The sequence below is a fragment of the Homo sapiens genome, chromosome 2 (assembly GCF_000001405.40).
Source record: "Homo sapiens chromosome 2, GRCh38.p14 Primary Assembly".
In the NCBI taxonomy this organism is placed as follows: domain Eukaryota; kingdom Metazoa; phylum Chordata; class Mammalia; order Primates; family Hominidae; genus Homo; species Homo sapiens.
This window is the reverse complement of record NC_000002.12, coordinates 70,015,382-70,029,974: the sequence shown is the minus strand read 5'-3', so window position 1 is coordinate 70,029,974 and position 14,593 is coordinate 70,015,382. Positions and strand designations below refer to the sequence as shown.

The following is a 14,593-nucleotide window of genomic DNA, read 5'->3' as shown; positions in this document are numbered from 1 at the left end:
TCTTGAAAACAGAGCAAAGGGAGGGGAAGGGTGGAGAGGGAGAGACCAGAGGAGGAGGGAGAAAAAGAGATCATGTGACTGGATAAGACAGCTCACAATTCACTGTGCCTTTCTCCCACCATTTGTGGCCCAAGGACCTGTACTCCCTCCTCAGCCTCCTCTAGGGAGGGGTCCTTGATGAGAATTCTGAGGACACAAGACCCCTTGTGGATATTTCTTAGCTCAGCCTTGGTGTGCTTACCTGCTTCTGACAAGCAAAGTGGCCAAGTAGGGGAGGGAGTTGAATCTGATGTCCTCCACTAAGTCCAGGACTCCTATTTTGTTTTGTTTTGTTTTTGAGACGGAGTCTTGCTCTGTCACCAGGGTGGAGTGCAGTGGCACAATCTCGGCTCACTGCAACTTCTGCTGCCTGGGTTCAAGTGATTCCCCTGCCTTAGCCTCCTGAGTAGCTGGGACTGCAGGTGCGCACCACCACGCCTGGCTCATTTTTTGTATTTTAGCAGAGATGGGGTTTCACCATGTTGGCCAGAATGGTCTCAATCTCCTGAGCTTGTGATCCACCCACCTCAGCCTCCCCAAGTGCTAGGATTACAGGTGTGAGCTACCGTGCCTGGCCGAACTCCTGTTTTTGTTTTTGTTTTTATTGCCAATGTCTTTGCACTCAGCTTGTTTCTCTTGCTGGAATGGTAGTCAGGGCGTCACTTATATGTCTTTAGCATCCCAAATTTCTGTCAGTCCCTTGGCCAAAGTTATTCCAAATAAATATTCAATGTAATTACCTGCCACTTCCCTGCCCCAATCCTCTTTCTGCTGGATTGCCACTCCTAAGCCCCAGATACAGAAATTGCAGGCTTACAATGGGTTTGCTCTCGAATGACATCACACCAGTCCCCTACCCCCTACTCTGAGTTGAGGGATATTTGTATTTTAACAGAGAGCCATTGAGTAACTTTAGGGCCTCTCTGGTGGTGGAAGTTTAGGTGCCAGGGTTGATATTTTGGGAAGGAGAATTTATTTTATTTATTTATTTTTTTGGAGACGGAGTCTCTCTGTCGCCCAGGCTGGAGTGCAGTGGCACGGCCTCAGCTCACTGCACCCTCCGCCTCCTGGGTTCAAATGATTCTCCTGCCTCAGCCTCCCGAGTAGCTGGGACTACAGGCTCGTGCCACCACGCCTGGCTATTTTTTGTTGCGTCATCCCATGGTGGAATGTAGAAGGGCAAGAAAGTATACATGCGCAAGGGAGGAGGGGGCCAGACTTATCCTTTTATCAGGAACCCAGTCTTGTGACTATGACATGAATCTATTTGTGAGAGCACAGCCCTCATGACCTAATCACCTCTTAAAGATCCTACCTCTCAACACTGATGCATTGGGGATTAAGTTTCCAACACATGAACTTTGGTGGATGCATTCAAACCACAGCACCAGGGTTCCTACTATGTCACCTCCAGAGGCACCCAGAGAGGAAGGTTTTGAGTTAATCACATCATAATTTATAGCCCTTGAGCCATCAGAGAGCCCATGCAGAGAGCACCCTATTTCCTAGGTCTCAGGTGGCATGGAGGGGTGAGTACGTTGAAGAAGGTGCTTGCTAATTTCCAAAGACTCAGCGCAAATAAGTTCAGTGGGGTTCATGGGAGAGAGACCTGAAATGAATCAATTGTGGGTAATACTAGAAAGTTGTCTTCTCGTCATTACTTCCATCTATTTCCACACCTACCCCATCACACTCCGTTCTCAGTATCTTCATCTGTATTGGGGTGGAAAAGAGTGCCAACAGCTCAGAATAATGCTGGTTCTAGCTGCACCCAGCCTCACCCAATGTGGCCCAACCTAGTGGAACTGCAGTGAAAGGAAGCGAGAGTTCTAATTATGGGTTTTAGGTATCATTTCACTAGATATGTTGGAGGATCTGAGGACCTTTCTTAGGGACCTTTAATTACAGTACCCTGGACTGGGAAGTGCCCATGATGTGGCACCTCTTTCTTACCCTGTAGGGTTTTCTTGACTACATAATTGAACATACTTATGGGGGTACATGTGATATTCTGATACATACAATGTATAATGACCAAATCAGGTTAATTAGCATATCCATCACCTCAAACCCTTGTCATTCCTTTGTGTTGGTAACATTCTAAATCTTCTAGTTATTTTGAAACATGACAGATTATTAACTGTAGTCACCCTTGTGTGCTATTGAATACTAGAACTTATTCCTTTTATCTAACTATATGTTTGTAACCATTAACCAACCTCTCATCAGTCTCTCTCCTACCCTTCCTGGCCTGTAGTAACCACCATTTTACTCTCTACTTCCATGAGATCACCTTTTTTGTGCTTGATTTATTTCAGTTAACATAATGGCCTTGGTTTTATCCATGTTACTGCAAATGACAGAATTTCATTCTTTTTTAGGCTGTATTTGTATATATACCACATTTTAATCCATTCTTCTGTTGATAGACTCTTAGGTTGATTCCACATCTTGGCTATTGTGACTGCTGCTGCAGTAAACATGGGAGTGCAGATATCTCTTTAATATACTGATTTCCTTTCTTTTGTATGTATTATGCCTAGCAGTAGGATTGCTGGATCATATGGTAGATATATTTTTAGTTTCTTGAGGAACTTTCATACTACTTTCCACAGTGGCTATACTAACTTACATCCTGCTCCACCCCCCGCTTTTTTTTTTTTTTTTTTTTTTTTTGAGAGACAGGGTCTTGCTCTGTCGCCCAGGCTGAGTGCAGTGGCCAGGATCTTGGCTTACTGCAGCCTGGACCTCCCAGGCTCAAGTGGTCCTCCCACATCAGCCTCCTGCGTAGCTGGGACTACAGGTGCACATCATCACGCCCAGCTAATTTTTTAATGTTTAAATTTTTTGTAGAGGCGGGATCTCACTATGTTGCCCAGCTGTTGTGAAAATCCTGGATGCAAGTAGTCCTCCTGCCTCAGCCTCCCAAAGTGCTGGGATTACAGGCGTGAGTGTCCACACCCAGCCTGCTATAGCTTTGTAGTATGTTTTGAAGTCAGGTAGTGCGATGCCTCTAGTTTTGTTCTTTCTGCTCAGGATTGCTTTGGCTATTTGGGGTCTTTTGTGGTTCCCTAGGAATGTTAGGGTTGTTTTTTCTATTTCTGTGAAGAATGTCGTTGGTATTTTGGTAGAGATTGCATTGAATCTGTAGATTGCTTTGGGTAATATGGGTATTTTAACAGTATAAATTTTTCCAATCTATGAGCATGAGATATCTTTTCATTTTTTGTATCCTCTTAAATTTCTTTCATCATTGTTTTATAGTTTTTATTGTAGAGATCTTTTACTTTGGTTAAATTTGTACCTAAGTATTTTATTTTATTTTTTTTTGCTATTGTTAGTGGAATTCCTTTCTTGATTTTGTTTTGTGATTCTTTGCTGTTGTATAGAAATGCTACTGATTTTCGTATGTTGGTTTTGTATCCTGCAACTTTACTGAATTTCTTTGTTGACTTCTAACAGTTTTTTGGTGGAGTCTTTAGGTTTTTAGGTTGTTGTAAACAAGAATAATTTGACTTCTTCCTTTCCAATCTGGATGCCCTTTATTTCTTTTTTTTTTTTCTGATTGCTCTGGCTAGGACTTCCAGGTCTATGTTAAATAAAGGTAGTGAAAGTGAGCATCCTTTTCTCATTCCATATGTATATATATTATTATTTTGAGATGGAGTTTCACTCTTGTTTTCCAGGCTGGAGTGCCCAAGTGATTCTCCTGCCTCAGCCTCCCAAGTAGCTGGGATTACAGGCGTGCGCCATCATGACTGACTAATTTTTGTATTTTTAGTAGAGACAAGGTTTCACCATGTTAGGCTGGTCTTGAACTCCTGACCTCACGTAATCCACCCACCTTGGCCTCCCAAAGTGCTGGGATTATAGGCATGAGCCACCGTGCCTGGCTGTTGTTCCATATCTTAGAGGATGACTGGGAAGTGCCCATGATGTGGCATCTCTTTCTCATCCTTACAGGTTTTTAGTTCTCTGATGCTAGATTCCAATCCATATTCTTACCAGAGGCTGACTTTGGTAAGGAGCACAAACTTCTGGTATGGTCCATATTTTAATTCTTTCAACCCATTGTGTCCATTAATGCATTTGGACATGCCTGGTCAAGTGTCCTGGCCTTTGGTATGGTCACAGCCATTGCAGCATCAGTATCTGTGTATCTGGATAGTCAGGCTACTCCAGACCATTTGTGTCAGCAGAAGCTGGAGTTCACAGAGAGTATCTGCTCTCCAAATCTCACCCCACCTTCCAGGCTTTGAGCAAGGTAGATGGTTTACCAAAGCACCTGCCTGAGGGGCTGCTAAGGGCTAGCATCAGTCCAGGAGTAAATCATTGGCACGATCCACAAAAGAATCCTTTCTACATAAACCCAACTCTCTGTTGTGGCCTCCTTTCCTCCCACCCCATGGATAGAACCATAAGGAGACATCAGAACTTGACCACAGCAATGTTGGGTACACTGGTCATCTCCATCCTTTTCTTTCCCTTCTCTTCCTCCTCCTCCTCCTCCTCTTTTCTCTTTTTCTCTCTCTTTTTTTCCTTTGGAGATGGAGTCTTGCTGTGTTGCCCAGGCTGGCCTTGAGCTCCTGAGATCAAGTGGTTCTCCTGCCTCAGCCTCCTGAGTAGCTGGAACTACAAGCATGAGCCTCCATCTCCTGCTCCATACTTTTCCTGAAGGAGATCACTCTTTCTATCATTAAAATATTTAATGCATTTCTAATCCCCAACACACACACATTCACATGCATGCGTGTATGCGTGTCATAATGATGGTGCTTCTAGTGTCTGTCTAGTGTCTGTTGAGATAATACAAGTGGTTATAAGCTGGTATGAAAATAATAACAAATTTAAATATATTTAATTTTTATACATCCAATCACATTGACAAATTTGAGACACAATAGTGTTTATATATGTGGAACATTTATTTGAGCTACAGACAGTGCAAGGTTCAAAAGGTGGATCTTTTGCATTAACTCTAGTACCAGGGCTCAGAGCTATGACATCTGTCACCCTTTACTGCATACCCTTCCCTTCCTAGACCTCTTCTGTGTCCATGAGATCAGACTTAGGAATGAGTTTGGGGAATGGGGCAAGACAGGCTGAGGGTTAGGCCTTAGAACTCCACCTATTTGCTGCAACTCCTCTGTCTGGAAGTTTCAGGAGGTTGGGGTAGGGAGGGGGCGAAATGTGGGGAGAAGTGGTGTGGCACCCAATGACACCAGTCACACCTGGAGCTACAACTGTCTTCCAACAGAAAATAGGGGAGGCAGGGAAAGGAAAGAGGATTGAGAAAGAGGGAGAAGAAGTGAGGAGAGGAGGGAAGGAGGAAGAGGGTTAGTGAGAAGGGGATTGTGGTCAGGGCAACCTTGGGGCTGAGCCAGATTGACAGGGGTGCTGCCCCTTGGGGAGGCAAGTAGGAGATTTCTTGGCATCCTGGCTCAGCCCTGGAGTAATCTGACTCCACAAGGCAGTACCGGCCCCTCTCTGTTCTCTCAGCATCTCCTTTCCTTCCAAACCAGAGTGACAGGCCCAGGCTGGCAAGAGCCATCTCTTTTGTCACAGAAGACTGCAACTAATGAACGACTTACTAGTTCTGACTGCCTTGACGGGTTTGCACTTTATGAGGAGATCCTAGTATATCACTTCTGCTGCCACTATTAAGTATTACCCAAACTATTCTCCTTCTCATCCAGTCAATTTTGGTAATTTTTATTTTTTTCTCAAAAAAAGTTTTTAAATTATTGGAATAAATTTTTCATAGTCTTACTATATTTTAAAGCTTGAGTTTATCTTCCATTTTTCATGCTAATATTATTTAATACTTTAGCCTTTTTTTTTTTTTTTAATAGTGACGGGATTTTGCTTTGTTGGCCAGGTTGGTCTTGAACTCTTAGCCTCAAGCAGTCCTCCTGTCCTCGCCTCCTAAAGTGCTAGGATTACAGGTGTGAGCTACTGTGCCTGGCCTCAGCCTTTTTTTATGATCTGTTTTACTAGTGGTCTGTCTTTTCTTTGAGGACCTTTTTTGTCATCTCTATTGTTTGTCTTCTATTTCATTAACTTTTTCTTTCTAATATTTAAAAACTAATTTTGCAATTGAAAAGTAATACAGTGGGTCACTTTCACTTACAAACAATTATAAAAAGACCAACAATCCAAAATAATAGAAAAAAGGACTTTTAAAAAAGAAATCTACATGGTTTATAAATGCAAGAAAATACTTTATTAGCAAGTACAACCATGCATCTTTTTTTTTTTTTTTGAGACAGAGTCTTGCTCCGTTGCCCAGGCTGGAGTACAGTGCTGCATTCTTGGCTCACTGCAACCTCTGCCTCCCGGGGTTCAAGTGATTCTTGTGCCTCAGCCTCCCAAGTAGCTGGGATTACAGGTGTGTGCCACCATGCCTGGCCAACAATGCATCTTTTAATGGTGGACCTCTAGGCCTGAGTGGAGAAGAGAGGCAGCTTCAGAGAGGCATCTACTGCAGAGAGAGAGTGCCCAATGGAGGGAACCCTGGGCTACAGCCGGGAGGTCACCCTGCTCTCAGCCCTGTCTTTTATTTACTAGTAATCAGCAAGGCATAGACCTCTCTTCCCTCCCCTGCAAATCATGACTAATAAAAAATGTCCCCACCTGCTTTGCCTGATTGGCTGTTGTATCACATCAGATTCAGAAGGTGAAGAAGACAAGACACCTGAACTCCTGCTCAGGCCCTCGCCCCCATCTTTCTTCTCCCACATGTGGCAGTGGGGAGGGGTTGTCGGTGAAACCAGCCTGTTCTGGCGGGACTACTTATCAGGCCCTGCCCTTAAAGGAAAATTATTTTGAAAAGAAAGAGTGGATCTTATTCTCTTTCTAGCTCATTGTGCTTTCTGGCTTATCTCTTCTTTAGTTTTGATTTTGATTTTGTTTTTAGGATTTTATGATTCTGTATTCTGTGGAGAAGCATGGGAGGGGAAGGTGTGTTGGAAACTGGGCCTAAAAACCAGGAGGCAGAAATGGATGTCCTGTATCAGCAGTTTTGGTCTCAGGACCCTTTTATACCCTTTTTCCTTCTTCATTTTTTTTTTAGCTTTATTGAGTTATAATTTATACACAAAAAATAGTATGCATTTAGTTTATGTGTCTTGATGAGTATACATCTTGGCAAGTTTGAACATGTGCATACACCCATGAGACCATCTCCACAACCAAAATGCTAAACTTATCCATTACCTCCAAAAATTTGCTTGTGTTATTTTTTTTTTAAACAGGGTCTCACTCTGTCATCCAGGCTGGAGTGCAGTGGTGCGATCTCAGCTCACTGCAGCCTTGACCTCCTAGGCTCAAATGATGCTCCCACTTCAGCTTCCTAAGTAGCTGGGACTACAGGCATGTGCCACCATGCCCCCACTAACTTTTTTTTTGTTTTTTGTAGAGTTGAGGTCTCACTATGTTGCCCAGGCTGGTCTCAATATCCCAGACTCAAGTGATCCTCCTGCCTTGGCCTCCCAAAGTGCTGGGATTACAGGCATGAGCCACTGTGCCTGGCCTGCTTGTGTTTGTGTGTGTGTGTGTGTGTGTGTGTGTGTGTAAGTGTGTGTGTGTGTTTTGGTAAGAACACTTAAGACAACATGTATTAGGCCTGGCATGGTGGCTCATGCCTGTAATCCCAGCACTTTGGGAGGCCAAGGCAGGCAGATCATGAGGTCAGGAGATTGAGACCACCCTGGCTAACACGGTGAAACCCCGTCTCTACTAAAAATACAAAAAAATTAGCCGGGCATGGTGGTGGGCACCTGTAGTCCCAGCTACTCAGGAGGCTGAGGCGGGAGAACGGCATGAACCTGGGAGGTGGAGCTTGCAGTGAGCCGAGATCGCACCACTGCACTCCAGCTTGGGTGACAGAGCCAGACTCCATCTCAAACAAAACAAAACAAAACAAAATGTATTGGCTGGGTGCGGTGGCTCACACCTGTAATCCCAGCACTTTGAGAGGCTGAGGTGGGCGGATCACGAGGTCAAGAGATCGAGACCATCTTGGCTAACATGGTGAAACCCCATCTCTACTAAAAATACAAAAAAAATTAGCTGGGTATGGTGGCACACTCCTGTAGTCCCAGCTACTCAGGAGGCTGAGGCAGGAGAATCGCATGAACCCGGGAGGCGGAGGTTGCAGTGAGCCGAGATCGTGCCACCTCACTCCAGCCTGGTGACAGAGAGAGACTCTGTCTCAAAAAAAAAAAAGTATTCTCTTAACGTATTTTAAAGTGCACAATACCGTATTGTTAACTATAGGTACTATATTGGACAGCAGATATCTAGAATTTATTCATCTTGGCCGGGCGTGGTGGCTCACACCTGTAATCCCAGCACTCTGGGAGGCCGAGGTGGGCAGATCATGAGGTCAGGAGATGGAGACCATCCTGGCTAACACAGTGAAGCCCCGTCTCTACCAAAAATACAAAAAATTAGCCGGGCGTGGCAGTGTGCACCTGTAGTCCTAGCTGCTGGGAAGGCTGAGGCAGGAGAATGTCGTGAACCCGGAAGGTGGAGCTTGCAGTGAGCTGAGATCACGCCACTGCACTCCAGCCTGGGTGACAGAGCGAGACTCTGTCTCAAAAAAAAAAAAAAAAGAATTTATTCATCTTGCGTACAGAACAATGGATGAGGAAAATGGTATGTACACACCATGGAATACTATACAACTTTAAAAAAGAAGGAAATCCTGCTATCTGTGACAACATGGATAAACCTAAAGAATACTGTGCCAAGTGAAACAAGCCAGTTACAGAAGGAAAAACACCATGTGATTCTACCTATGTGATGCATATTCCACATACATAAGAATGGAATGGTGGCCACCAGGGACTGGGGGAGGGAGCAATGGTGAGCATTCTTCAGTGGACATACAGCTTCCATTATATAATTTAAAAATTTAAAAAGCTGTGGTAAAATACACATAAAATTTTTAAGTATACTGTTCAGTAGTATTGAGTACATTTATATTGTGCAACCATCACCGCTCTTTATCTCTAGAATTCTTTTCATCTTGAAAATTGAAACTACCCATATGAAATGAAAACTCCCTATTCTCCCCTCCCTCAGCCCCTGATCACCACTAGTACCCTCTGTTCTCCATGCATCTGATTAGGCACCCCAAGTAAGTGGAATCATATAGCACATCTCCCTGTGTGGCTTACATCACTCTGCACAATGTCTTTTTTGTTTTTTTTGCCCAGGCTGGAGTGCAATGGCATGATCTCAGCTCACTGCAACCTCCATCTCCCAGGTTCAAATGATTCTCCTGCCTCAGCCTCCCAAGTAGCTGGGATTACAGATGCGTGCCACCACACCGGCTAATTTTTTGTATTTTTGTAGAAACGGGATTTCACCATGTTAGCCAGGCTAGTCTCAAACTCCTGACCTCGGATGATCTGCCCACCTCTGCCTCTCGAAGTGGTGGGATCACAGGCATGAGCCACCGTGCCCGGCCCACAACATCTTAAATGTTTATATTGTAGCATGTTTCAGAACTTCCTCTTCATGGCTGAACAACATTTCATTGTATGTATACACCACATTTTGTCCATCCATTCATCACTGATAGACATTTGGGTTGCTTGTACCTTGCTTGCTATTGTGATAATACCGCAACAAACATGAGTGAATAAATAACCTCTTCAGGACTCTACTTTCAATTCAATTGTATATATAACCAGAGTGGAATTGCTAGATCATATGGTAATTATATTTTTAATTATTTGAGGAACTGCCATGTTGTTTTCTCCAGCAGCTACACCATTTTGCATTCCCAGTAACTCTACATGAGGGGTTCAATTTCCCCATATCGTTGCGACACTTGTTATTTTTGATTTTTAAAAAATGTGTGTTTTGACAAGTAAAAATTGTATGGATTTATGGTATACAACATGATGTTTTGATATATATTGATATATATATATATACACACACATTGTGGAATGGCTAAATTAACCTATTGAACATATGCATTGCCTCATATACTTCCCATTTTTTTGTGATAAGACCACTTAATTTATTCTCAGCAATTTTCAAATATACAATATATTGTTACTAACTGTAGTCAGCATGATGTACAGTGGATCTCTTGAACTTGTTCCTCCTGTCTAACAAATTTTGTGTCCTTTGACCAACATCCTTCCAATCTCCCCACCCGCCACCCTCTGGTAACCACCATTTTACTCTCTATTTCTATGAGTTCAACTATTTTATACTCCATATATAAGTGAGGTCATGTGGTACTTGTCTTTCTGTACCTGGCTTATTTCACTTGACATAGTATCCTCCAGGTTCACTCATGTTGTCACAAACGACAGGATTTCCTTCCTTTTAAAGGATGAATGGTACTCCATTGTGTATATGTACCACATTTTCTTTATCCATTCATCTGCTGATGGACACTTACATTGATTTTATATCTTGGCTATTGTGAATAATGCTGTAATGAATATGGGAGTGTGAATATCTCTTCAACATACTGATTTCATTTCCCTTAGATATATGCCCAGTAGTGGTATTGCTGGATCATATGGTAGTTCTACTTTTAAATTTTTGAGGAACCACCATAGTGTTTTCCTTAATGGCTGTACTAATTCACATTTGCGTCAGTAATGTGCAAAGGTTTCCTTTTCTCAACATCCTTGCCAATGCTTGTCATCTTTCCTCTTTTTTGCAATAGCCATTCTAACAAGAGTGAGGTGATATGTCATTGTTTTGAATTGCATTTCTCTGGTGATTAGTGCAGTTCAGCACCTTTTCAGATTCCTGTTGGCCATTTGTATGTCGTATTTTGGGAAATGTCTGTTCAAGTCCTTTGATCATTTTAAAACTCTGGTTATTTGTTTTCTTCCTACTGAGTTGTTTGAGTTTCTTATCTACACTTTAGATCATAACAACCCCTTCTCAGATACATGGTTTGCAAATGTATTCTCTCACTCTGTAAGTTCTCTCTTCACTGTATTGTTTCCTTTACTGTGTGGAAGGGTTTCAGTTTGATGTAATCCTATTTTGCTTTTGTTGCCTGAGCTTTTGGAGTCATATCCAAAATTTTTGCCCAGACCAATGTCATGAAGCTTTTTCCCTATGCTTTCTTCTAGTAGTGTTACAGTTTCAGGTCTTATGTTTGTCTTTAATCCACTTTTATTTGATTTTTGTATATGGTGTGAAATGAACATCTAATTTCATTCTTCTGTATTTGAATATCCAGTTTTTCCAGCACCATTTATTGAGTAGGCTGTCCTTTCCCCAGTGTGTGTTCTTGGGACCTTTGTTGAAAATCAGTTGACTGTAAATACATAGATTTATTTCTGGGTTCTTTATTTTGTTCCTTTAGTCTATGTGTCTGTTTTTTGGTGGTACCATGCTGTTTTGGTTACTACAGCTTTGTAGTATATTTTGGAGACAGACAGTATGATACCTCTAGCCTTGTTCTTTTTGCTGCAGATTGCTTTGGCTATTTGGGGTCTTTTGTGGTTCCATAGGAATTTCAGAGTTGTTTTTTCAATTTTTGTGAAGAATTTTATTAGTATTTTGATAGAGATTGCTTTGAATCTGTAGGTCATTTTGGGTAGTATGAGCATTTTAATATTAATTCTTCCAAACCGTGGACACAGCATATCTTTCCATGTTTTGTGTGTGTCCTCTTCAGTTTCTTTCGTCAGTGTTTCAACAGTGTTTTCCATGTACAGATCTTTCATTTCCTTGATTAAATTTATTCCTAAGTATTTTTTATTCATTTATTTTATTTTATTTTATTTTATTTTATTTATTTATTTATTTTTGAGGTGGAGTCTCACTCTGTAGCCCAAGCTGGAGTGGCGTGATCTCGACTCACTGCAACCTCCGCCTCCTGGGATCAAGTGATTCTCGTGCCTCAGCCTCCTGAGTAGCCGGGACTACAGGTACGCACTATGACACCTGGCTAATTTTTTGTATTTTAGTAGAGATGGGGTTTCACCATGTTGCCCAGTGTGGTCTCAAATTCCTGAGCTCAGGCGATCCTCCCACCTTGGCCTCCCAAAGTGCTGGGATTGCAGGTGCGAGCCACTGCGCCCAGCCTATTCCGAAGTATTTTTAAATAGCTATTGTAAATGAGATTGTTTTCTTCATTTTTTTGATAGTTCGTTGTTATTGTATATAAACACTACTGAATTTTGCATGTTGATTTTGTTTCTTTTTTTTAAAAAAATACTAACAGACAAGCAAATGCATGTTGATTTTGTATCCTGCAACTTTACTGAATATGTTTATCAGTTCTAACAGTTTTTTGGTGAGTCTTTACTATTGTCTATCTAAAGATCATGTCATCAACAGACAGACAATTTAACTTTTTCCTTTGCGATTTGGACAAATTTTATTTCTTTCTCTTGACTAATTGTTCTGGCTAGGATTTCCAATACTGTTTTCAATAGAAGTGTCTGAAATAAGCATTCTTGTCTTATTACTAATCTTACGAAAAAAACTTTCAATTTTCACTATTCAATATGATGTTAGCTGTGGGCTTATCGTACATGACCCTTACTGTGTTGAGGTCCATTCCTTCTGTGCCTAATTTATTGAGAGTTTTTAATCATGAAAGGATGTTTAATTTTGTTGAATACCTTTCTCCATCAATTGAGATGATCAGGTTGGGCGTGGTGGCTCACGCCTGTAATCCCAGCACTTTGGGAGGCTGAGGTGGGCAGATCACAAGATCAGGAGATGGAGACCATCCTGGCTAACATGGTGAAACCCTGTCTCTACTAAAAATACAAAAAAATTAGCCAGGCATGGTGGTGGGCACCTGTAGTCCCAGCTACTTGGGAGGCTGAGGCAGGAGAATGGCATGAACCCGGGAGGCGGAGCTTGCAGTGATCTGAGATCACGCCACTGCACTGCAGCCTGGGTGACAGAGCCAGACTCCGTGTAAAAAAAAAATTGAGATGATCATAGGGCTTTTGTCCTTCCTCCTGTTAATGTGGTGTATCATATTTATTGATTTGTATATGTTGAACCATCCTTGCATCCCAGGAATAAATCCCAATTGATCATAATGGATTATCTTTTTTTTTTTTCTCCCTTGGTGGGGACAGAGTTTCACTCTGTTGCCTTGTTGTCCAGGCTGGAGGACAATGGTGTGATCTCAGCTCACTGCAACCTCTGCCTCGTAGGTTCAAGCAATTCTCATGCCTCAGCCTCCTGAGTAGCTGGGATTACAGGCATTTGCCACCATGCCTGGCTAGTTTTTGTATTTTCAGTAGAGATGGGTCTTCACCATGTTGGCCAAGCTGCTCTCAAACTCCTGACCTCAAGTCTGCCTGCCTTCGCCTCCCAAAGTGCTGGGATTACAGACATGAGCCTGGCCTGGATGATCTTTTTAATGTGTTGTTGAATTTGGTTTGCTGGTCTTGCTTTGTCACCCAGGCTGGAGTGCAGTGGCATAATCTTGGTTTACTGCAGGCCTTAAACTCCTGGGCTCAAGTAATCCTCCTGTCTCAGTCTTTTAAAGTGCTGGTATTACAGGTGTGAGCCACATTGCACCTGGCCTTATTGAGGATTTTTGTATCTATGCTGATGTAGTCCCATTGGTCTATAATTTTCTTTTCTTGTAGTGTCCTTGTCTGGCTATTGTTCACGAGCATGTTGTTCAATTTCTTTGTATTTGTGAAATTTTCCAAAATTCTTTTTATTATTTCTAGTTTCATACCATTGTGGTCAGAAAAGATACTTGGTATGATTTCAGTCTTCTAAAGTTTATTAAGACTCGTTTTGTGGCCTAACATGTGAGTTGTCCTCAAGAATGTTCCATGTGCACTTGGGAAGAATGTATTTTCTGCTGCTGTTGGATGGAATGTTCTTTATGTCTGTTAGTTTCCTTTGGTCTAAAGTGTAGTTCAAGTTTGATGTTTCCTTTTTGATTTTCTGGCTTTATTGAAAGTGGACTATTGAAGTCTCCTACTATTATTATTATTATGGAAATGGAGTCCTGCTTTGTCACCCAGGCTGGAGTGCAGTGGCAAAATCTCGGCTCACTGAAACCTCCTCCTCCCGGGTTCGAGTGATTCTCCTCCCTCAGCCTCCTGAGTAGCTGAGATTACAGGTGGGAGCCACCATGTCCAGCTAATTTTTGTATTTTTAGTAGAGATGTGATTTCGCCATGTTGGCCAGGCTGGTCTTGAACCCTTGAGTTCCAGTGATCTGCCCACGTCAGCCTCCCAAAGTGCTGGGGTTACAGGTGTGAGCCACCACACCTGGCCTAAAGTCCCCTACTATTATTGTATTATAATCTCTCTCTCTCTAGATGTATTGATATTTGCCTTATGTATCTAGAAGCTTTGATGTTGGATGTATTTACAGTTGTCCCTTGGTGTGGGATTGCTTCCAGTACCTCTGTGTGTAACAAAAGCTGCACCATTCAAGTCCCACAGTTGCCCTGCGAAACCTCTGTATATGAAAAGTTGGCCCTCCATGTACATGGGTTTCCCATCCTGTGAGTACTGTATTTTTGATCCTCATTTGGTTGGAAAAAATCTGCATATAAGTGGACCTGTGCAGT

At 42.3% G+C, this 14,593-nt stretch overlaps 1 protein-coding gene and 1 long non-coding RNA gene across 14 annotated transcripts in view, besides 1 other annotated feature; both read left to right on the top strand.

Annotated features, from left to right (window-relative positions):
• The window catches only part of ASPRV1 (aspartic peptidase retroviral like 1), a 154,659-nt gene that overhangs the window by 57,401 nt on the left and 82,665 nt on the right, over positions 1–14,593 (top strand). For 4 of the 10 annotated variants that reach the window (NR_170375.1, NR_170634.1, NR_170638.1 and 1 more), the window contains one exon: positions 11,844–11,960. The exons of the other annotated variants lie outside the window; for them this stretch is intronic. The gene's annotated coding sequence lies outside the window, so the exon portion shown is untranslated. The remainder of the gene's footprint in view (positions 1–11,843; positions 11,961–14,593) is intronic. 10 annotated transcript variants of the gene reach the window in all.
• PCBP1-AS1 (PCBP1 antisense RNA 1) overlaps positions 1–14,593 on the top strand; it is a 125,946-nt gene that overhangs the window by 58,234 nt on the left and 53,119 nt on the right. The window lies entirely within an intron of this gene.
• Positions 13–884: an enhancer, noted in NCBI's record as "H3K27ac hESC enhancer chr2:70256223-70257094 (GRCh37/hg19 assembly coordinates)". NCBI's record gives its function as "activates a minimal SCP1, AML or CMV promoter by ChIP-STARR-seq in primed H9 embryonic stem cells {active_cell/tissue: H9 hESC(primed)}" and the evidence as "EXISTENCE:reporter gene assay evidence [ECO:0000049][PMID:30033119]".